This window comes from Homo sapiens, chromosome X (genome assembly GCF_000001405.40).
Source record: "Homo sapiens chromosome X, GRCh38.p14 Primary Assembly".
Classification (NCBI taxonomy): Eukaryota; Metazoa; Chordata; class Mammalia; order Primates; family Hominidae; genus Homo; species Homo sapiens.
The window spans coordinates 138730599-138756066 of NC_000023.11; the positions used below are offsets into that span (position 1 = coordinate 138730599).

The 25468-nt window shown below is 38.5% G+C and overlaps 1 protein-coding gene across 5 annotated transcripts in view; it reads right to left on the bottom strand.

Moving 5' to 3' along the window:
* The window catches only part of FGF13 (fibroblast growth factor 13), a 590297-nt gene that overhangs the window by 115872 nt on the left and 448957 nt on the right, over nt 1-25468 (bottom strand). Inside the window, exon 1 of one of the 5 annotated variants that reach the window (NM_033642.3) lies at nt 8644-8755. The exons of the other annotated variants lie outside the window; for them this stretch is intronic. Within the exon in view, the coding sequence (NP_378668.1) occupies nt 8644-8671 (28 nt within the window). The 5' untranslated portion in view covers nt 8672-8755. Of the gene's footprint in view, nt 1-8643; nt 8756-25468 lie in introns of those variants that run through there. 5 annotated transcript variants of the gene reach the window in all.

The window sequence follows — 25468 nt, forward strand, 5'->3', positions numbered from 1 at the left end:
TAATAAAAATAATGTAATACAAAAGTTATTTGATTCACTCCCAAAACATTAAAAAAGAAAAACAGAGGGACACAGAGAAGATGGGACAAATAGAACTCAAATACTAAAATGGAAGATTTATATCCAAACACATCAACAATTACAATAAAATGGACTGAAAAACGAAATAAAAGTCAGAATTTGGGAGCTAGAAGAAGAGAGACTCAATTACATATTGCTTACAAGAAACAGACATTAAACATAAAGGCACATAAACAATAACAGTCAAAAGATAGAAAACATACACATTGCAAACACTAATCCTAACAAAGATGGTGTGGCTGTATAACTATCAGATAAGGTGGACTTCATGGTGAAGGATATTATCAGAGATAATGGGGGAAATGTCATAATTATAAAATGGTCAATTAATCAATAATATACAAATTCCTATATGTGTGTGTACCTACTAACAAAGGCACTACATATTTGAAGCAAAAAATTGATAACACTAAAAGAAAACATAGGTAAATCCATAATCATAGTTGGAACTTGCAATACTCATCTTTCAAAAATTGACAGAAATTGTATACAAAGTCAGAATATGGAAGAATTGTACAACACTGTCAATCAATTTGACCTGATATAAACGTATAGAACTGACCAACAGCAAATAACACATTAATTCACGTGAAATATTCACCAAGTAAACCATAAGCTGAGCCATAACCCAAATTTAAATACATTCATAAGAAATCAGAGTATGTTATCTGACTGCCAAATATCAAGCTTGGAATTAACATCCAGAATGTACATAGACCACCCCCTCAATAAGAAATCAAACATTATATATCTAAATAAGTCATGAGTAAAAAAAAAAAAAATCAAAAAGAAGGTTAGAAAATAGGTTGAATTGAATGATAAAGTACAATATATCAAAACAATGAAGTTAATGTAAAGCTGTTATTATAGGAAAATTTGTAGCTTTAAATGCCTTCACTCAAACAGAAGAAAGTTATAAAATAAATGATTTATGTTTCCACCTTAAGAAACGAAAAAAACTAATTAAACCCCAAATAAGTAGGAAGAAAGAAGTAATAAAAATGAGAAAGGAAATCAGTGACAGAAAACAAATGGAGATAATCACGAAAGCCAAAAGTTGGTTCTTTGAAAAGATTAATACAATTTTAAACCGCTAGCAAGATAGACCAAGAAAAGAGAGAAAAAAATGAATCATTAATATAATAAATAGAAGTGGAGATATCACTAGAGATGCTACAGACATTAAAAAGATACTAAAGAGCTACTGTGAACAACTCAATAAGATAAGAAAATAAAGATTGGCAAAAGACTTGAACAAATACTTCCTTAAAGAATATGTACAAATTACCAATAAACACATGACAAAGCACTCAACATCATTAGTCATTAGGCAGATGCAAATTATTACCAAGATGCAATGCTACCATATACATGCAAGAATGAATAGAATGAAAATAATTGACAACCCTAAAAGCTGATGATTATGTAGAACAACCAGAACTCTCATACATCACTTGTGGGGATATAAAATGGTACAGCCATTTGGGAAAATTCTTAGGCAGTAGCTCAAAAAGTTAAACTTATATCAACTTTATGACCCAATAATTTCACTGCTAGGTTTTTGTCCAAAAGAAATAAAAACATTTGTCCACAAAAAGATTGGTAAAAAATGTTTATAGCAGCTTTACTCATTTAAGCTAAAAGCTAGAAACAATCCAGATATCTCTGAATGAGAGAATAGATACACAAACTGGCATATTCATGCAATGGATACTAGTCAGCCATAACATGTAGTGACTTACTGATATACACAGAAAAATAGGTGAATTTCACAAACAGTATTCTGGGTGAAAGTAGCCAGACACACAAAAAAGCACAAAATGTAATGCTTCCATTTCTATGAAGTTCTAAAATAGGAAAAACGAACCTATGGTGATAGAAGTAAATTAAGTGGTTTCTTCTGGTGGCAGAGAAATGTTGACTAGGAAAAGGCATGTGGAACCTTTTTGGGGTGATGAAAATATTCCAGATCTTGAAAGAGGAATAAATTGCACGAGTATGTGTATTTTGAAAAACTGATAAAAGTACTTAACATCTGAGCACTTTATTTTATATAAATTACACTTAAATTGAAAAAAAAACTTTAAAAGCAATACACAACTGCTTGTGTATGGATGGGCGAGGGGACGACAACAATGAAGACTAGTGAGTCACTGGTGCAGAAGAATACTTACAGAAGTGAGATGTGGATGGTCTTCCTGTATCAGAATCACATGGAGTGCTTATTAAAATGTAGATCCTTGGGTTCCAACCAACTCAGCTTGAAATCTTCAATTTTAGCCAGTTTCACAGAGGATATTGATGGCACACACTAAAGTTTGGGAACAGCTGGGCTGCAGAATTTTCAGCCCAGAATACAGAATTTTCCCATATAGAAATAATGTAGTTAGACAACATTGAAGCTAATGCTCAAAATGTGATTTTGGATATTTTCATGAGTTATGAGTGTTATGAGTCAGCTTTCATATGTCTATAAAATCAGATTATTTTATTTTATTGCAATGAGCTGACACTTATTTTTAGTTGGATCTTTGAAACTGGGCATCTTACAGAAACTGTAACTGGGATTCTAAATCTTTTTGTGTTATTTATACATGAATTATCAATATGTATTCATGTAAAAATGTTTAAAGAATGTTTAAGCATCAAAATAATAGCTTTGTTTCTATTAAGCATAAAGCATTCATGTAATTGCTATTAGGAACATAAACACACATGCCTGGGATTAATAGCTACCAAAGACTAACAACCTCTTATACTGTAATCTAAAATATATAAAGATCTTTCAATCAGAATGGTAACAATCAACCAATGAACAAACCAAAACTTGCTGAAAATCTACTATATCTGGGATAGGATGGCATTACATGAACCAAAGACTGGCTTCAGTGTTCATTAATCACAAATCTTGGTCATGTTATGTAACCTCTCTGAGCCTCAGTTCCCCTCAGTATTAAAATGAGGAAAACAATAATCTACATTGTGCAGTTACTGTATGAATGAGTTACACCTGTGCAGTGTACAAGCTGGGAAAGGGGCTGTAGTTGACACTTAACAAACGGTAGTTTTTATTTTTTGATCACACAGTCTAACCAGTAGGGTGGTTATTTAAGACTACTTTATTTAATGAAGAGGAGCCAAGAGACTGTTTAACAAGGATCAAGCAGATCACATACTCTGAGAATGAAATAGTATGGACAGGAAAAAAAAAATGAAAACCTGACATTTTGTCTTTGGACTGTTTTCCTTTGGAGTACTAAGATATATAGGATAGATGCTCAGCGCAAGGGGACAAAAAAATTTAGAAAAGCTATATAGGACAGGGTCATGATGTGACTTGGGGGAAAAGGACCAAAAGGCTGTTTGAACTGCTTCTAGACTATATATTCCATGTTCTATTCAGTACTGCATACCTAGAAGCTAGCACAGTGCCTGGACTATTATTGTAGGTTCTCACTGCATATTTGTTGAGTGAATGAAAGAAGGCAAAGGAATCTTCACAGCTTGTATGCAATCCAGTGCAGTTTCCCAGGAGACTATATTAAGGTTTGGAATGAAGTTCCCAGCCAGTAGTAGTAAATTTGAGTCATTTTGTCATCTGTCTTATTATCTTGGTATTCTACTGTATAGCAGTGGTTAACTAAGTCAAGGAATTCTCAGAACCCAATCAGGTTTTTTTTTCACATAAATGACATGTGTAGTTACTCTCATTAGTAGTTCTGTGCTATCAGTTAGGGAAATAAAGTGTTGAATATGGGCCTTGCCTCCTAGGAATATAATAATCTAGAGGGGAAAATGAGCACAAAGGTAAAAACAATGTAAGAAAGTTTTGGATGAGTGTCATATGATTGGTTTAGCCAGTAAGTACTGTGAGAGTTCTAGAGGTGAAGAAATCTCATTTGGTTGTCAGGAGAGGAAAGGTATCTCAGAGGACACAAACCAAATTTTCACATACATTTAAGTCCCTGGTTAATTTATACCTCCTCGATGAGGCTATCCCAAATCCAGCCAGCAGAAAGCATCTTTCCTAGTTCTAGTCCTCTGCTGCTTTTGTGTTATTTTGGTTATAGCATTCATCACAGAGTGTCTGATAGAAGCTAGCTGGGCAGCCAGCCTGTGCCTTCCTGGAAGGCAGGGTCCATGATTCTTTCATCTTGGCACCTTCCTTGGTGTCTAGCACATCACAGAGAGAGCACTGCATAGATTATACATTAATGAATTGGGCAAATTCCTCTAGGAGGCAATTGGATTGGCTGAAGTAGTTCTTGTAGGAAAGGAAGGAGATAAGACTAGAAAGGTATGTTGAGCCAGACTACTGTAGGCTTTGCTTACAGAATAACATCAAACACTGCCTCCAACTAGTTGGCATTCAAAGTGAAGCCAGTAAAAGTTTTGATATAAGGAAGGGACATAATGAATGTGGTATTTAGAGACTTTATTTAGATTTTATCATATTAGCTAGTATTAGAGCTGGAAAAATATCTTCTCATTCAGCTATGCAGTTAAGCATTAGTGGAACAATGAATACTACAAAGAACACTTATATTTTGTATTTACGCAGAGATGCATGCACTAACCAACCACAGAAAGAGTCCTAGTAAACACCTCCAAGGCTGACTGCTCTGGAGCCTTGGAATGTGCCTAAATAACACCTACTCTGTTGTACAAGGCGAAGTTCCTGTATCATAACTCTTCATTCTCTAAGAACAGAGTAAAGGATGGAGTACATTGGGAAACAGCCAATATTTAGACATTTCAGCGGCATGTTGAACTAAATATAGGGAATTGGCATGGTAACAGATTAGAGTTTTGGGTCCAGGAGATATGTGTATACCCTATTTACATAAGTAAGTGGCCATGCCAGTTATTCATGGCTCCTTTGGATGAAGTTTTTAAAAATTCTATTTTAGAAGGCAATAATATAATGTCATATCAGATAAAGCTGCTAAATAGTAAGAAACACCAATAAGCTCTTCAGAAACTTCCAAAGCAAAGTAAGCAGACTTAAATGTAACCATTTTTAACATACTCACAAATGAGGCATTATTACATTAAAGCATACATAAGCTTAGCAAGCTTTGGTCAAATAATTTCTTCTGAATAGAATGCAGATATCTTGTTTTCATTCTGACATTTTAGAACTCAGACTTTCAAATGGATAAATTAAAGAGTAATCATTTTAATACGTCTATTATAAGTCTTCGCTTTATAGAAACACTCACAAAAAGGCTCCTTTCTTTACTGCATATCCCATGTGGATTTCACGTGGGATTTGATTTACATATAATTTTCTGGAAACAATTTTATTTTATAAAACGAGAGACACTTATACTGCCAATTGAGATATGCCTAAATTTTTAGGCCATACCCAGTGGCCCTGCCGGAATGAAAATAAAAGTTATGGCACATTTTTCTCCCATGAGACTGGTACTCCCAAGGGGGACTTACAGAACTCCTTCTACCCAGGAGGCACTCACTTCCTTTTGAATACTCTCCTTCCTTCTCAAGAGCTTAGCTGCTGGGGTGAATTTTTCTACCACCCTGGATGTCTTCACTTGTAATAGTTTTCTCAGTTCAAATCTTCCAGTTTCTAAGGCAAATGGCAAAAGACAAATATAGACTACCGCTATACATTCTAGAAACCCAAATTGAAGATGGTCATTTATGCTTTGTTTTATAAGATCAGCTAGATTGTTTAATCATTTTCCCAAAGAAAATATAAAGAAATATTTTCTAGTGGTCTATACAGCCATTTTGGGCATATACAGTTACTCAACAAAAACTAAGTATATACTAAGCACAAGCCCAGGGCCAGGCAGTTGGAACTGCATATCATGAGAAAGCACTTTGAGGCACTGCCCAGGTGATAATGGACTCAATGTTTGGAATGAGTGATCTATAGAACAGCTGAAAGTACACATTTGCAACCCCTGAAAAATGGACAGGGGATTATTGATAAAAAAAAATTAGTAAACATATTGTTTCCTAAGTCCCTACAGCTAAGGAAATGATTAACAAATATACTGTTTTATATATATACACAAATATATATATGTAAATATATTGTTTTCTTCCCCGAGAGAAGAAAATCTGTCTTCATGTGCTGTTTGAGAAACTCTAAGTCAATATGATACATGGAGTACTAGGCAGGTGTAGGAATAGCCACTGAATAGAAAAACTCATAATTACTTAGAAAAGAACACGAAAGGACCTTAAAAAGCTGAAGAAGTAATTGTGGACAAGCAGAGGGGAACACAACAAGGACAAAAACATTTAGAGAAGTAAATGGGTGAGCTAAATAAGGTAGGTTAAAAACAAGATTGAAAGGGTAGACTAAAGAAACTAGGGTTCCTTAACTTAAATAAGCATAATCATGAGAGCTTCTGGGCTGGGAAGGGTTACACAGAGCACAGCTGCTGTCTATTCTTTAGCTTCCCTGAGGATCAAATGAGAGGCAGCAGACTTAACTGGAGATGGAGAACTTAGGATGGATGTTCTTGCCTTGAGAGCTTTTGAAATGAGTTCTTTAGAGAGCTTGTGGATGCGGTGGCTGGGACAGTCTCATCTGTGTACAAGGGTTGAAGTGTTTTCCCGTATGAAGGCTAAGAGATAAACCATGTGACCTTTCTTGCGACTCGCCATTCTTTGGCTGCATATCCTTTCTCCTGATTTCATTTGCATTGCATTGTTCTACCATGAACTCAGAGCCTATGCTATATCAGATATTTTAATATTTCTTTCAGAGGAGCAACTGCAGCATTTTCAATCACTACCAATCTGTCCCACAGCTTGCATTCATTTCTGCAAAGGGGCTCAGTTTCCCACAAACATACATTTATTAAAAATGGACATGTCTATTTATAACATTTCATCAATCAACCTATAAGTCTATTGTAAGCATAAAGTTAGTTTGTGCTTGAATCTAACCAAACAGCTTAGATGGCAATTTGACAGTCTCCAATTCATAGACTCACATGTCAATAAAATAATTGTTTGGTGAGAATTTCCTGTGTCACAGATCTTACTCAGCAAATAATTAGTGTGTGTGTTTCACTCAAATACTTTACAAGCAGAGTGATGAGTGTACTTGTTTCAGCCACATATACTGTATCCTGAGTAAAGAGGCATATAGTCTGTAGCTCCTGCCTTTAATGATGATTATAAGCTGTCCACCACCTGGAAGGTGAAAACTCTAACGGGTTTCTTAGAGACATGAATTGTGGAAATAATCAGAAAATTAAATGTTGAACTAATCTCACAAATTCTGTAACGATTTTCATCACTAATATTGCCCTTGATGTACTAATCTTTCAAATAAGCTTTTTTTCTCTCTCAATTTTATGGGGAAACCAATTAAAAACAATCAGATAAACAATGCTCATGCAACATGACAGATCAATCCAAATCTCCATTTGGGGATGCTCTAGGAGAACTCCAAATAGCTGAGGATATCCTGTGAAGTACTCAGAAGAGAAAGCCTATTAATCCCAGTTAATTACATGAATAAACACATGCTACTCAGCAGTTTCAGGACAGAGAGAAGGATTTTGAGGAAACAGAAAATCACCATGAATAATTACTCATCTGGACAAAATGTTCTAGCAAAATAAAACATTTAGCAAGGTTAAGAGTTCTCTGGGATTCTTTCAGGTTCAACAATAAAGCAAGTGCAAAGGGTTTCAATGAAAGTGTTTGCTTCATGAGGTTGCTTTATTCAGCTAATATGAAGATTGGCAAAACCATTTTTTTATTAGTTACATGTAAAAACTTCCCATTAAAAATGTAGCTGGAGGAGTGATTTCACTCCTCCAAAAGAATCCCTGTCCTGCTCTTTTCAAAGAGACTTGAAACTGGTCGCTCCGGCAACCTTCTCTCAGCTTGTTTTTCTCCGTGAGCTGGAAGCTCTTGGGCGTTGGTTCCATCAGCTATCTGCGGCATCTGCCTTGCCGCCATGGAGGAACAGATACTCTCCTAGTTTCGCTGAGACATTATAGAGTGCCTATCTTCTGTGATTTCCCTGAAGATACACCTAATAAGTTTGTCAAAATTAAAGTGTGATTGTGTCCACCTTCCCTTAGCTAAGTGTCATCTTCTCTTTCTTTCCTTTCTTTCACTAAGCTAAAAGAAAAATACATTAAAAGCCAATTATAATTACTTATTCTCTTTTTTCTTTAGAAATTAAAATTAATGTTTTGTGCTGTATGCATAGAATAAATGCAAATCTAGAAGTAGGAAATCTCTCTTGAATCAGTTAGTGCCACCATTTTCTAAATGTAAATAGAGTTTTAAATGGTCAGAAATACACATTCAGTTTCCTATAACAATTAATATTTTAAATTCCTCCCAGAAAAAAAAAAATGATGCATTTTTCCAAAAGAATCCATTCTTAACGTCAAACATCCCGGAGTAAAGGGAATCAAGAACCCCTGTCCCATCCAGAACGAAAAATATCTCAGCAGAAAGATCCCTGGTATAATTTTGTTAATTTCTACAAAGGCATTAATGTCCAGGATAAACATTCAAATCTATGTCCATCAAAAACATTGCAGAAATAAATCTTACCTGAATACGACTTCCTTAACAAAGCCATGCTTCTTTATAAGCTGGTCCTACCCAGACAATTGCTGTCTACATTTGGAGCAGACACAGAGAGAGAGGAGATCAGAGAAAGTTTAAGGCATATCTAAAGTATTCTCCAAGGTAATGGCCAGAAACATCAAGCCCATACTCTCAGTATAGAGAGATCATTAATGGGCATTAGTGACAGACCATTATGGCTCTCCCAGATCATTAATGATTCATCATGTAGCAGTATTGTTCTGGCAGTAATCAGACCATTGCTTGGACTCAGACATAAGCTTTGCCTATACTATTTGCTTAAACTTATTATTTCCAAGCATAAAATTTTATTTTGCCTTCTAGAATTATGAAAAACGGTCTGTAACAGGATCCCTCAGCACATTAGAGAAGTTTTTGGAGCTGGCTGCCTTATTTGGTAGACTTCTCCCACAGTCAGGAATCTGAAAGTCTCCCCGATAGTGTTTGGGATGTTGAAATGTGTCTTTTATTTTGAAATTGAATTATTGATGAATAGAAAACGCTACAAGCAAAATAGACATTTGTAAGAATTATAGTTGCTCAATCCTCTGTAACAATTACACGTAAAATGTTGAAATTCTACCAGAACTTTTAGTTCTGTGCCACAAAATTATATTTTCATATCAAAGTCCCTTGTTAAAAATTCAGAAAATCTATGAGCAGCCTATGAAAAGGCTTTTAGCTAATTATAACAAAGAGCAAGAAACAGACTATTTTAGCATTACACCATACTCGTTACTGAAGCACTCAATAGTGTTAATATAGGAATCAAAATTTTAAGAAAAAGCAAACCCTGAAACAAAATTGCCATGCTTTTTATTTTTGCTTTATGGAAGACCCACTATTTTTGTTAAAAATTCAAATAGAAATGGAAATGTAAGTTATTCTGGGATCAAATGAGTCTTTCCTTTTGAACAGACTGGATTCTCCTTCTGTGTGGCTCTGGGAAAACTGCCCTCGAGTCAGAGAGAAAGGAAATCTGTCTCAAGTTCTGAATATTGTCACTATCAATGAATATTGAAGAATTACCAACACCCACGAGGAGCTATATTTATTAAGCCCCAGTACCCATATTCAGTGCTATATGGAAAGGAAGATAATGTATATCCAAAAGCATTCCATAAACTTACATATTTTTTCATAAGCTTCTCTGCATAATCAAAATTGCCTTGTGCTCTCTCCCTCCACTTTTCCATCCAACACTAAGCGTGTAACAGACAACAGCTGCAAATGTTAGCCCCTCCCAAAGGGATCCAGCCTCAACAAAATTGCTTTAGCTCTGAGGATGGGATTTCAGCAGTAGGCAGAGGATGGAGAAAATTTGTTCTGCCCTGAAATCAAACACCGTCCCCTATACCCCAATAGCCATCCACAGCCCAGGGACCTGAACAACAGGAGCCTTTAGAACCCAAAAAGGCAAAATAGCTGTTCTTTGGTAGGGCTACCTCCTGGACACATGACCTATGCAGCGGCAAAGGGCCATGCTCTGAGAAGGGCCCTGCACTGGGTTTAATGATTTGCTGTCACCATTTTGAAACTAACAATTTTTTGAACAAGGATCTCTACATTTTCGTTTTGCACTAACCCCTGCAAATTCTGTAGCCAGTCCTGTTTCCCAGAAAACCATTATTTTAACTAGTCAATCATGCTTAGAAGCACAGATGATCAGATTCAGAATGTGGCCATGGGGTATTCCCCATTGTTCTCTGGTTGGGAAGCTGAGCAAGTGCTCAGGCCACCAGGTAAAAAGCTGCATATATTCAGATCCCTGTTTGCAAACCAAAATGGCTAATGGAAGAATTTAGGCTTCAGCAAACTCTTTACACAGGAGAGGTGCCAACTTCCTTCAAACAAAAATAGAAAAGCTTAATATGGAGGCAGTCTCTCTTGGCCAATGTGGGAGCTCTTAAAAAGGCATTTCTCAAGGGACAAAATTAAGTCATCTTAATATGAGTGGTCTTATCAGGTCTAATCAAGAGACTCAGTCTTTCAGCTGTGCCATAGCTTCTTATAATGGCCCTGCAGGGGGCTGCACTGGTCAGTGTAGTGGGGAAGGGGGTCCCCAGGGATGGGAGCAGCTCAATCTGTTGATGTCTAGACAGCACAGAAATAAACAAAATGAGAGCCGACATGGAGCCAAATTGCAAGTCAGGTAAAATTTATTTCTGCTATCCTCTCTTTCCTTTCCCCTAAACTAATTCTCAGCCATGCAGGGCCTTTGTGCTGCTCCCTAGCTGCCTGTAATTCCACTGCAAGAGGAGCCCTCTCCACCCTCAGTACCCCATGCTCCTACCTTCTTTTGCATTCCACATCCCCCTATTCTCCTCGTCATCAGAGTGGCTGGTCTTGGTCAGGTGTTGTGGAAGAAAGCAATCTGATTAAGCTAATTCACACAAATTTGTCAATTTTCACAAAGGTATTCTCATTTTGGAAGCAAGTGTCTTGTTCTCCAATTGGCATACTTTTAAGAAGTATGACAAATGGAAGGATTTTAAGCAATAGAAAGGCACAGAGAATGGTAGTGCTCACCTGTTCTATTTAGCATTATGTGGTGATATATTTCAATAACGTCATCATTTATTGATTAAGTTTTTAAACCTGAGGACTAAGGTCACCCCATCCTTTAAAAAGTACCAGAGGACTCAGGTTCCACACTACCAGACTGGGTTCTTGGAATGTACTAGGCTTTTTCACACCTCCACAGGTTTGTTCAAGAACTTCCCTCAGTTTGAAGTGTCCTTGTCCCCTTGTCTGCCTACTAATCTTTCAAGTAGAACCTTCTCTAGAAAGAATTTTCTGCCAGCCCCTCCACATCTCTCAATTTGAATGTGACCTCCTTGGTCCCCTCACTGTAGCCAACAACATCTATCACTGTATTGGATTGTACCCAGCTGCTTACATGTTCCCTCATTTACTGGACTGTGAGTAGCTAGAGGGCAAGAACCACATGTGATCTGACCAGCACCTGTGAATAGATGAAATCAATAGAGAAGGTGAATACACTAGATGTTTGAGACTGCGTGTCCGTCATAACTGTGGCACACACATATTCACAGGTTAGAGTGCAGTTTGCATTAGTTGACTCAGGCAGTGACTACATGGGTGGCTTTCACTTGCTTTACAATGGTTTTAATCCAGATAGTGTAAATACTGAGGTCACCACATGGCGCTGTGTCATTCAGCCTTTTCTAATAGATGCCATCAGCAAGGGGCTCTCTCTCTCTCTCTCTCTCTCTCTGCCAATTGACGAATAATACCCCGGAGGTCATGATCTATCATCTGTTCCTACAGGCAGAGTCCAACTAAACAGAAGGTGACAAATCCAGTTAAATTTTTGGCTACTGGCCTTTAATTCCAGCCCAAGGAGTTACAGATCTCCAAGCTTTCACTGCATTGCGGTCAAGCAGCACAAGTAAGCTTCCTGCCTTCCTGGAGGCCTCAATCAATACTCTGCCCTCTTCTTAAAGCCTAGACACATCGAAGGCAATAATGCCTGAGATTTAATCATTTCCTATTAAAATGCAAAGCTCTTGTCTCCAGGCCCCCTTGACAGTTTAATTGTTTTAAAATGTCTGCAGAAGCCGCTGTAAACAGATTTGTAGTACGTTGTTTACTTGCTGTGCCACCGCAGCCTCTTGGCTAATTAATGAGCATTTTGCTGCAAATTGGGCCTCTTGTATGCACTGATCCCTCACCTTGGGAAGAATTGATGGAAAGGAGGAATTTATGGGAGTAAGGACAGATATATTTTTCATTTAAAAAATACTGAGTACCCATGAGTTGAAATCTAATATCCACACAAAAACCTGCACGCTAATGTTTATAGCAGCTTTATTCATAGTTGCCAAAACTTAGAAGCAACCAAGATGTCCTTCAGTAGGTGAATGAATAAGTAAACTGTGGTACATCGAGACAATGGCATAAAAGAGGGCTAAAAGAGATGAGCTATCAAGCCATGAAAATACATAGAACTTTAAGTGCATATTACTAAGTGAAAGAAGCCAATCTGAAAAGGTTACTCCATGTGACTCCAACTGTATGACATTCTGGAAAAGGCAAAACTATGGAGGCAGTAAAAGGATCAGTGGTTGCCAGGGGTTGGTGGGGAAGGAGGGATGAATTAGAGGAGCACAGAGGATTTTTTCAGCAGTGAAACTCCTCTGTATGATACTATAATGGCCTTTTATACATTTGTCCAAACCCAGACAATGTACAGCACCAAGAGCAAGCCCTTATGTAATCTATGGACTTTCGGTGATAAGGGCATGTCAATATAGGTTCATCAATTGTAACAAATGTACCACTCCAGTGGGTGGATATTTCTAGTGGGGAGGCCATCCAGGGAATCACAGGGTATATGTCAACTCTGTACCTTATGATCAGTTATGCTATGAACCTAAAACTGCTCTAAAAATAAAGTCTATTTTTAAAACTTGTACTGGGTACCTAATATATTCCAGGAGTACGTTCTCTCTGATCTTCACGACAACCCTAGAAGGTTTTGTTTAGTTTTTTTCATTTTTGTTTTTGTTTTTGCCTATGTGGAAACTCACTAAGAGAGGTGAAGTTTTTTGTTCAAGGTCACAGAGATGGCAATTTGGAATACTATCAGGGGATTCAAAAGCTTGCTTAGTGGTTAACGTGGATACCCTTGATGGTTTCTCTCAACCCAGAGCTTTCAAGATTTTGTGTTCCTCCTCCTCCTCCTCCATAAAATGTTCTTCAGTGAATCCAATTGCTTGAAGTCTATCGCAATTGCCCAAGTCACTCATTTCCTACAATACTAAAGAGTTCCAGGAAGGAGGGGAAATGCCACACAGGAAGCTCTCCAACCACAGTTAGAAGGTTGGAAACCTTCATTCCTGTCAACCACTATGTACTGTGCTTCCTTTCATTTTCACTGAGGGTAACAGGGGCAGACAGAACAGCCAGGAAGATTCCTGCCCTCCTGCATGAACACAAGAGTCAGCTTCAAATAACAACCCATGAACTATACTAACCCACAGTGCAAATCCTAGTCAAGCACCATTGAGGCCCTGATGTATGGAAGGCATAGGTAAAGACTATTATATACCTCCAAATACCATCTATTTGATTATTTTGATATCATGGCCACAATCATGCAAAAACAGGTGGTGGGACTGGGGTGATAATTATTTCTTTATTGGGCTTTTATAAGAATTAAATGAGATATTTATATAAAGTCCTCAGCACAGTGCGTGGCATTTCGTAAGCAGTCAATGGAAGTTAGTCCTCTTACTTTACCCTTAGTCTCTTCTTGCCCATTCACTTGTCTCTCTTGTAACCTCATCATTATCCTGCTTGACATTTTTTGGCAGCATTTTTGTGAAAACAGATCAATAAGGAAGCAATCCACAAACATTAACTGAGTCCTTACAATGTATCAGGACCTTTGTCATGTGCAGGAGTTATAAATATGGAAAACACACACATACACACAGAGCCCAGGGGTTAAAGGAACGAGTCTAAATGGGAAGACATACATGAGTACAGTTCAAAAATATTACTCAGAATCCAAGGCCATCAAAATATGCTGAAGGTAGAAACTGGAGATGAGATGTTGAAGACAAGATTTGATTTGCTTAAGCCACTGGTTACACAAAGTACAACTTTCCCAAATATTGACTGTGTTATGTGTGCTGCCCATCATGGTTTCATAAGAAACAAATCTAAACAAGTGTACACAGCTGGTACTACTATATCTACGTGTTATTACTGACAAGAGCTGACTGATATCTCTGACACCTGGATGAGTCTTCCTCTAAAATGGTCTATCCTATACGAGAGTTAAAAGCAGCATAGTGCATGCTTTTATTCTGTTCAGTTGTGTTTCTGACATCATACTACATAACATCTAAATCTGTCAATGAACAAATTCCAGATATACCACAAATCATACATCTTTAAACTTGATGCCTGAACCTTTTAAAGGAGTTAGGGGTATGTGTGTGAGTGTGAATCTTATTAGTAGGAAGCCTTGTCCGAGGCATACATAATTTTCTGGCAACGGTGGAGAGTTATTCCATTCTTGCACAATTGTATACAATGCAGGGAAAATAAAAAAGTTACTTGGTTTGTGCAGTTCCTCTCTCTCTCTGAGGAAGAATAAGAGAATGGCCTCGTATGTGTTCATAGCACCCCCTTGTGGAGAAATAACGTATTTCAGTTGCATGCTAATCCTCCCAACAACAAGGCACCAACCCCGGCTTCAACAATTTCTTTTTCCTCTCAGGAGTTTCATGGAAAGATAAATTAAATATTTAGATTTTTCCAGGTTAGCATCTCGCGACAATAGGGACAAAACAAATCAAATTACAATCCTTATTCATTTCATTTATCTTGAAGATTCTCTTGGCCAATTTCAAAATTAATGTCAAATTCTTACTCTATTTCAGGAAAACTTCCTTTCCATTCTTTTATTCAGCAAACATTTCCTGGGTTCCCATTATGGATTAGGCCTGTTCTGGGTGTTTGAGACACGAGAATAAATAATCCCAAGTCCCTGCTGGGGAAGGAGCTTGTCTGGAGATGAGAGATACCTGCAGAAGGCAATCAGTGCCATCTTAAAGAATATAAGGCTCTGAGGCTGTACCAGGCCTGGCAAGACTCAGAGAAGGTGAGAGGGAACCAGAAAAACTTCACACAGCAGGTGATAGTTGAACTGAGCATTGAAAATTGAACAGCTGTTCCCAAGGCAGATGAGGTTGGTGAGGGAGAATATTTAGAAGTGTGAAATTACCTGAAACTAAACAGGACACAGCTGAAACTGGAAGTTGTTTGGCATGTCCACAGACTAAGGGGTGAGATTTGGCACAGAGGAGAGGGTTTGGGAGGTACACACTGAAGAAATAGGCAGGGAATAATTTAGGAAGCCAGTTTAAGGAGTTTGGATTTATCTCAATGGTGACTAGGTTTTACACCAGAAAGGAATCAAATGACATTCAGAAAGGTGACCTGGGCTGCAGAGTGGAGAATATGAGGGGGAAAGAGGAAGATAGGATATAGGGAGCTCTCTTAAGAGACACAGGTGACAGTGATGAGGATCTAAGTTAGCACCTCGTTGTGAGGATGAAGACTGGAGTTGTAGGTTCCCTACCAGAACCTAGATCATTGTCTATAAAAAAAAAAATAGTTCTATTGACCACAGAGCTATTTCCTAAAAGTAATTGGCTCTTGCAGGAGGGGGCAGAAAGAGACTATTTCAAATAGCTATCTAAGGTACTCTTTGATTTGACCAACACAATGCAGATGGACCTCACCACCTCCCTAGATTCACCCGGAAGCAACAGAGAAAAGTAGTGAAAAGCAGGGACCCTAGAGCCACAAGGGCATAGACTGGAGTCCTGTGCTCTTCTGCTTATGCTAAGCTATGCTTCATTGGGCTTGTCTCCTCAGATTTTTGAAACTCAGTTTCCTGCTCTGTAAAGTGGATCCAAAAATTCTGTCTATCTCATAGGTTGGTTGTAAGAACTCGAATAATGTATGCAAAGCACTTATCACAGTGCCCAGCATACAGTAAGCAGTGGGGTGGTTTCCTTCTTATTATTCTTCCTTGGCCAGTGTGGCCAGGCAAATTAGCCTTTTGTAAGATGGCTAGTATGCAAGTCCCTTAGTATCTCCCTAGGGCACTCTACCCTGGGCTGTAAGCAAAGCCTCTATTTGAAAGGTATCAAGTGATTTCATCTGTTTCCCTCGTAACCAGGGCAGACTCTAAGCTCCCTGATAGAGTTAGGAACAAACCAGGTTCTGACACTCCCAAGGGCCTGATCTGTGTGCCCACCAATTCTCATCAGAAAGAATGGAACCTGGAAACAAGGCTGACAACAGAATCCTATGGAAATTCTAAGTCAGTCAAGAAAAAGGCATGCTAACAGGAGAAGGCAGCCCAGCCAAGATAGGAGGCCAAACGAATTTGGCATTACTGGGGGCCAATGTGTAGGTGGCTCAGGGAGGGAGAGAGCAGGGTAGGCCTGGAGGAATTATTTGAGTCAAAGTGCATCTCACAGCAATCGCTTTTTTCATGATTTTCTTCATTGTTACCCTTCCTAAAAGAGAGTCTTGGAGAATAATAATCTGATCAAGATTCTCTGACTGAAAAGGTCCTGTGATCAGTGAGTTTGTGAAAGACTGCACAGCACACCAAACTATTGGTAATTAGTATTATGTATTTGGCTTGCTAAAGGTTCAACTAAAGCCTACGGTAAATAAATCTATTTTATGTGAGAAACTCCGGAATAAACATACTAATTTGCCTTCAGAATCCTTTATTTCCCACAGTAGCTACTAAGGTCCCTTAATAATAGCATTGAGTGAAAAACACTTCAAGGGCACGCCAGGCTGATGTCTCCTGGGCACAGGCCTCTTTAGCCAGGACTGACAGAATCACTCAGAAAGGCCCTTCTTCATGGCCTCTCAAAGGTCTTAATCTCAGTTGGCACTGTATTCTCAACCCATCTATCAGATGGCCAGAGCGGGATGAGGTCATAAAGTTTCCAAGGATGAGGCCATCTCCACTGCTTCTAGTATTTTTGGTTCTCTTCTAGGCAAGGGTTCTTTGAGGGAGCTTTTGGAGGCCTGGTACCTTGGAAATGGTAAAATTAAAGTCCTTGAAGACGTCCGCTTGACCTGGAGAGAATGGAGCTTCTCTGCCTGCCAACGAGATTCTAGGCTTCAGGAATAGTAACCTGAAGGGATGGAATGGGAGAGAATTCAAATACCGTTTCTCAAGCCCAAAGGTTCTCTGGGACTTCCACTAGTCCCTGCACTGCTCCAGCAGCATAATCCCCCTCCTTTGAGATATAAGGTAAATGACACTCAGAACATTTGATCATTGGTTACAACTAATTCTGCTCCTTTGCTCCAAGGTGATTTAAATATATTGTTTCATATAATTGCACAAAATTTTGATAATCTTGGGATGCATACCTGTTATGAACTGAATTGCATCCCCCAAATGCATATACTAAAGCTCTAACCCCCAATGTGACTGTATTTGAAGACAGGACCTTAAGGGAGATAATTAAGGTTACATTAGGGCCCATAAGGCAGGGCTCTAATCTGATAGATCTGGTGTCCCTATAAGCTGAAGAAACACTAGAGCTCAATCTCTTTCCATGGAGAGGAAAGGCTATATATGAGTATAGCAAGAGGTGGCCATCTATAAGCCAGAAAGAGAGGCTTCTCCAGAAACCAACCTAACAGTACCTTGATTTTGGACTTCTAGCCTCCAGAACTGAGAGAAAAATCCATTTGTGTTGTTTAAGCCACTCAATCTGTGGTATTTTGTTATGTCAGTACTAGCAGACAAATACAGTACTCATTTATTTGAAAGCATATACAACTTTGCCATTTCTTTTTCAAACAACGCCACCTAGAGGACAAGGTAGCAGTCCAAACTTACAAAACTATATAATGCTTGGAAAAGTAACCAAAAAGTAACCAGGAGTGTTTTAAAAACGGAAATCCACTGTACAACATTGCGCTCATAGTTAACAATATTGTATTGTATACTTAAAAATTTAAGAGTAGATATCATGCTATGCTTCCTTACCACAATAAAAATATTTTTTAAAAAAATGGGAAAGCAATTTTAATGAAAGAAATAAGAGGCAAAATCACAATCTCCAAAAGAAAAGTGAAGCAGCAAATGTTTAACAAGTGTCTAATCTGTACTGCTCTCTGTGCTTGGCTATAGGAGGTTGCAGTGGGAAACATAATTGTGAACAAAACCTAGTCCCTTTCTTCAAGGAGTTCAGTGTTTACTGGAAGAGACAGACAATAAACAGGCACTTTCAATGCAAAGGAGAAGTTCTATGCTACAGAGGAGGGATATCTCACAGAACCTTCCATTGGTTGGGGGTTGGGAGGTTGAAGTCAGGGAAAGCATCCCAGAGAAGATGATATTAAGCTGAGAAACGAAGGAAGAGCAGGAGGCAACTAGGTGAAGAGAGTAGCTGCTCTAGAGAAATCATACAAAGCCTCTGGCCTAAATGAGCTTTTAGTCCCAGGGGGGAGAGACCAAAATACACACACACACACACACACACACACACACACACACACACACACACACGTACACATAATTATCTTAAAAGGTGATAAGTGTAATGACAGAAATGTGGCACAGGCATTGTAAAATCACAGGGGGGCGGGTACCCATGCCTACCTACCAAATCTAGCCTCAGGGATGATCAGGAAAGCCTGTCTCAGAGCAAGTGTTTGCAGCTGAGTTTTGAAGGCCAGTGGCCATTAGTCAAATCAATTGTTGGGAGGGTGAAAATGTGCTGGGCTGAGAAAATTGCAGGCAGAGTTCACAAGTACAAAGACATACAGGCTTGGGACAGTCTAGCACAGTTTAGAAATGCAGGCAGATTTCACAAGTACAAAGACATGCAGGCTTGGGACAGTCTAGCACAGTTTAGAAATGCAGGCAGTTTGGAATGGCTGGAGCACAGATTTCCAGAGATAGGATGAGGGATAAAACGATGGAAGGTGTTAGGAGTCAGATTATGTGTGACCCCCTGGATCACGGGATAGGATTTGACACAATCCTTTATGCCATGGGGAACCATGCTAGGCCTTTAAGCAAGGGAGAGACTTGGTCAGATTGGCATTTTAGAAAGATTTCAGTGGCTGCAGCATGAAGACTAGTATGGTGGTTGTAGCCACAAGACTAGAGGCAGAGAGAACTACGGAGAGCATGTCAATTGTGCAAGAGCAATGTTGATAGCCTCAATTAAGGCAATGACACTGTGACTAGAGAAAAGGCAACAGAACACAGGGCCACTGTGGATATACAATCTACAGACGTTGGTTATGGACTGCAATGGGGAGGGGAAGAGGAGGTAGGTTCCAAAGAGTATTCTAGGGCTTCTGATTGGGCAACAGGATGGTTGCGGTGTTAGAAACCTGGAGCGCATTTCCCCATTTTTTTAAATAAATAAAGGTTTATAATTATATGGGTGATTTAAATAACTATGGTTAGGTGAAAACAGTTGTTGGCTATTAGAGCAATAATTATTTCCAGCTATATTACAATGCTAAACTGTCAGAGTTTTAAATAATTCAAATTAATGGAGGGACATTTTAATTTTATTTCTTTCCAAAAGACAGCTTTAGTTAACATCTTTAAAAATTTAGATTCAGGGGGTACATGTGCTTGTTTGTTACATGGGTAATACATTTGTAAATGGGGGGGTGGGCTTCTAGTGAACCCATCACCGAAATGGATTTTTTTAACATTTTTATAGGTGAGGAAACTAAATGTGCACAACATCACTCAAAAAGTGACAGCTCATCCTACATACCATTTTTTTTTTGACTCTCTGCCAACTAATTGTTTTGCTGCATACATGTGAATGCGCACACATATACACATACATTCAGTGTTAGGTATGCCTGTAGGGGTAAGGCAGTGAAGATAATCTAAAAGTAGTAAGCCTGGAATATGGGAAAGGGACCTGGTCTAGAGATAAAGATTCTGTAGTGATGAGCAAAGAGATGGTGTTTACAGTCATGGCGGGGGTGTGGAGATGGATGAGCTGCTCTAGGAAGAATGCATAGAGCAAGATTAGAAGAAGGCTGAGGATGAAACCATGAGAAACACTAACATTTATGATAGAGGAAGAGGAGGCAGTGAAGGAGACTAGGGAAGACCAGACAAAAGGTAAAAGACAAAGTAGAAAATAGTGATATCACACAAACCAAGGAAGGAGAGAGTTTCAGGAAGGAAGAAGGGCCTCCTGAGAGTTCAAATAAAACACTCTTGAGAAGTCGAGTTAGTTCAGGATTGTATATATCCACTGGCTTTTGTCATTAGAAGATGACAACCTTGGTAGGACAACCTTGGTGAAAGTGGTGGAGACAGTGGGGTGAGGAAAGAAAAGGAGGTGAGGAAGTTATTTTTCCTTCCTTCTTTCCCTGCACCCTCTATTGCCCCATTGCCAACTCACAGTATAATCATGCACTATACGCCAGACTAGCAGAATCTGGGCTCTAAGGAGTCAGAAGAGAAATGAGAAATGTGAGTCCCTGCAGAACTTTTCCTGGCTTCATTCCTGCCTTACTTCAAAGTGATCCATGCTCAGAGGCATAGGCAGGTTCTGATGAGGGTGGGGAGGCAGGTGGAGGGTAACTCTATGTCTCATAGTTGATTAGATAGGGGAGTTACTACATAAGATGTCACCCTTCAACTCTTCTAAGTGTGTCTTGGTCTTGCTTTTATATCATTTCCACTAGCATCTTTCTTTCACAACTTATATCATTGAAAGGCACTACTTTTGGAGATATGCTTAAAGAGGGTAAATACCTCCTCCTTTTTTGCTTTTCTCTATGCCCATTACCAGAAAATTATGTTCACAGGCTGGAACAGATGTCCTGCAGGAACAGATCCTACTTCAAAATCCTGTGTATGGAATGCATCGTATCAACTGGAATATATGAGGTGTATCCATGGTCAAAAGTAATGACGTGATGAGGGCAAGACCTAAATCATTTCATCTAAGAAGTGGAGAATTAAACATGTTTTTCCATTGTTATCATCATCATCAATATCACAGCAATTATTATTAACATTTGCTATATTATTTAATTTATGCCTCACAACAACCCCCCAACACAGCTATTATTATTTATACCATTTTATGGATGACAAAACAAAGGCCTAGAATATGGATAGCAGAACCTACTCAGGTTCACACAGTAAGTAGAAAAACCTGGATTTAAACTCATTCAATAATTCAACAAATGTTATTAATTGAGCACCTATGATGGACTACATGCTAGACAAGTGTTCTCCAAAGCGGGATGCATGAGCCTCAGGAATGGGCAAGACAATTATATATGGACGGCCAGGCGCGGTGACTCACACCTGTAATCCCAACACTTTGGGAGGCGGAGGCGGGCAGATCACCTGAGGTCAGGAGTTGGACACCAGACTGACCAACATGGGGAAATCTCGTCTCTACTAAAAATACAAAAATTAGCTGAGCATGGTGGTGCATGCCTGTAATCTCAGCTACTTGAGAGGCTGAGGCAGGAGAATCGCTTGAAACCGGGGGCAGAGGTTGCAGTGAGCCAAGATTGTGCCACTGCACTCCAGCCTGTGCAACAGAGCAAGACTCCATCTCAAAAAAGAAAAAAAAATTAGATATGGAAAGAGCATATTGGAATATGTGTTTTTCTCAACTTTTAAACTGTGTATGTTTGCGTATACTCTATAATACAACAAATAAAAATATGAAATATATTAGTAGATATATACGTATGTATAATTTAGACATACATAAATATGCACACTCAGGCAGAGGTGTGTGATCAGAAAGTTTATAGATGGCTAGTCTAGTGATAGTGGGAAACAAGACCTCATTACCCCTGACCTCCTGGAGTTCACACATTCAGACATAGGACTGTCTGTCCTCTGAGCCTATGCTCCTGAGTCTCTCAATTTTATACTGCCTTGAAGTACACAAATCCTTCACATTGTTTGGACCAAAGCACAGACCATGGGTTTAATCTAAAATATATTTTTGTGAACAATTTATTTTCCAGACATTTATCTCTGAGGCCATTCCTCATTGTCAGAAAAAAATCAAAGGTATCTATGTTTGAATCTGCACCTTCCATAACTCATTTTTATTGATGATGAATTTTTTATAGTTGAAACATGAAATGAATCTTAAAATTTGAAATAGAAACCCAGATAACTAACCATATTACAGAATAGTTTCAATTTTTGCACACTCCCTAATTACTATTTTGTGTTTATATATTTAATTAATCCATTCTTTCAATAATTAATTCACCAGATATTTATTGAGAGCATGCTGATTTCTGGCCTCTGTTCTGTTGTTCTAGGCACTAAGGAATTCAAGCAGTGATTCAAGTTGTACGTCAGCATGTCTCGAAATTTTTGTCATTTCCAAGAGCTAAATGCTAGGAAAAGCTTTACTTATCTGGAGTGCTGTGTTTTTCTCCTTGCTGATTCTTAGCTACCTACAGCAGACAGGGAAGCACTGTCAGTTACTCAGCTTTGTCAGATAAAAACGTAGCAAATATATAGAAATTTATTGTACTGGTAGAAACAAAGTAACAGTTCCAAAAGTGGTTTCCCATTTTCATGGCTATGAGCTACACTTTGGATTTTTAGCGTACAGACATCAGGATAGATCTGATTAATCAACTTTCTACCTTATCAGTGTACTGGAGTTCTGAAAGAGACTAATTCAGTTGAAAATAAACAATGTCAATCTATAAGATTCATGAGATGAGTGTATAAATGCTGTAACCTTCCCAACCTCTTCAGTTTTGTGGCCAAATCTGGTAAATTTCTGAGTGTAAGACTGAACTCTGTGAAAGTAGATGTTTCTTTTATGAAATGCCTCAAGTTAAGCCAAGAGGAACTCTCAGTGGTATAATATGGAGACAGGATTGAGATGTGTCCTGGCTGACTACACTTGACAGTTAACAAGAATAGTTCTAGTCTACTAAATGGCAGCATTCTTGTTGACTTAATCAAAATTGATCTGATGCTAGGCTTCTAATGATGCTCTTTTGTTTGAATAAAGCTGATTGATCTCTTTACTGAACTGGTTGTGTCTTACTGCTCTCTAAATAGCTAACAGGTTGTTCTTCATTATGGTTATCAACAACAACAAAAAAATCACACTACCAGCACATAAATGGGTTTCTGATCATGGGACTCACAACTGACAAAATGCCAAGGCCTCTGATCATAGTGGTAACAAATAGTTTCCAAGTAGAATCAACTTTATCAGCATTTAATACACACAGGTTACTAATACACAGTCTTAACTGGAATTTTGAGTAGAAGGCATCTTCTTGTGTTTCTTCTTATCAAGGAGTGTGCGAAATATATGTAAATGTTGATGTTTTGCTCGAGACTGGAGAATTTCCAGTAAAATGGATGTGACATAATTCAGTGTATGCATATAAAGTGCACTAAAATGGAGGCTCCATAAGGACATGAATATTTGTTTGATTCCCTGTTATGTCCTCAGTTCCTTATATAACACCCAATGCACATTTTTTGAAAAAATAAATGGATATGAGTATCACAAAGAGTGTCCATTTGATTACCTTGACTCCCTCACCTTCTCTTGGGCATACCAAACTACTTTCAGCTTCATGAGTAAGTCAGGCTCTCTCTCCCACTAGGCTTTTGCATCTTTTGCTGCTGCCATTGGGAATCTTAATTTCCAGAATACTAGCCCCACTCACATTACTTCACCAGTCTCAGGACCTGAGACTTCTGTCCTTAGAAAGGACTGCTTCAACATTTGGCCCTTGGCTGGTGTCTGGGAACTTGGCTGGCAAAAGTTCTTTACACTGATACAAAACTTGCTAAATGGTAAAAGTGCCTCACTATGTTTAAATAGTTTTGCACAAACAATGTGGTTTATGCCAAACCCCTACCTGTTTCCCTTCTGGGCATCTAGAATTTTGGTACATCCCAGGCAGAAGATGCCTATGTGATCAGTCCCCAGCAAAAACCGTAGGCACTGATTCTCTAATGAGCTTCTCTGGTAGACAATATTTCATGTGTGCTGTCATACTTGTTGCTGGGGAAAATAAGCACGTCCTGTGTGATTGCACTGGGAGCGGACTCTTGGAAGTCTGTGTGTAGTTTCCTCCAGACTTCTCTCCATGCACCTTTCCCCTTTGTTAATTTTGCTGTGTGTCCTATTGCTGTAATAAATCTTAGCCAGGAGCATGACTATGTGCTGAGCCCAACAAGTTCCAGAGTGAATCATCAAACCTGGGGGTGATCTTAGAAGCCTCCAACATATCTTTTACTATACACTCATCACATTTCATGAAATAAACAAGTAGCCTCAGATTCAATCTAGACAGTAAGTTTTATGAGGGCAGTAATCTTCCTGGTTTCACTCACCACCATATCCCTAGCACCTAACTCCATGCCTTGCACATTGTGGATATTAAAAATACTATTGGAATTCAGGAATCAATCAATCAATAAACCAACCAGAGAATTCTCTATAGGGAATTAAGTTAATCAAAGTCTATACTTACAAACCAATTGTTAATAGTTAGAGGAATGGTTATAAACTCAATATTGGTTTTGATTTTTACACTTCAAGGTCCAACAATTTCTTGTGGAATACATGTCTAAACTTATAATAAGAACTAATTCAAAAATATGATCTAATGCATTCAGCTTTTTCTTTCTCACATTTAGCCTAGTATGTGGCCTGCATAAGGCAATAAACATGGTTATTAAATAACAAATACATGAAAATATATAGCAAGTTCAAACTCTATAATGAAATTACATTAGTTTATTCTCAGAATAAGAAATCACCCTGAACTGTGAAACACCATTCATTAGCAAGTCATCACAAACTTGCATTTCTTTTCTGCAAAACTTGTTGTTTGACAAGAACTCCAAGCTTCTTGCTCTAACCCATTATTGTAATGATGGGGAGACAAAGGTTCAGAGAGGAAAAGAATCAGGGCTCTCTGATAACTGTATGCAGTGTGTTATGGATTGAATTGTGTCCTCACAAAATTCATAGGTTGAAATACCCCCAATACCTCACAATGTGACTATATTTGGAGATAAGGTCTTTATAGAGGTGATTAAGTTAAAATGAGGCTGTTAGGATGGGCTCTACTTCAATCTGATTGGTGTCCTTATAAGAAGAAGATATTAGGACATACAAAGAGACACCAGGGATGCATGCACAAAGAAACGTCTGTCTGAGAACACAAGGAAAAGGTGTCCATCTGT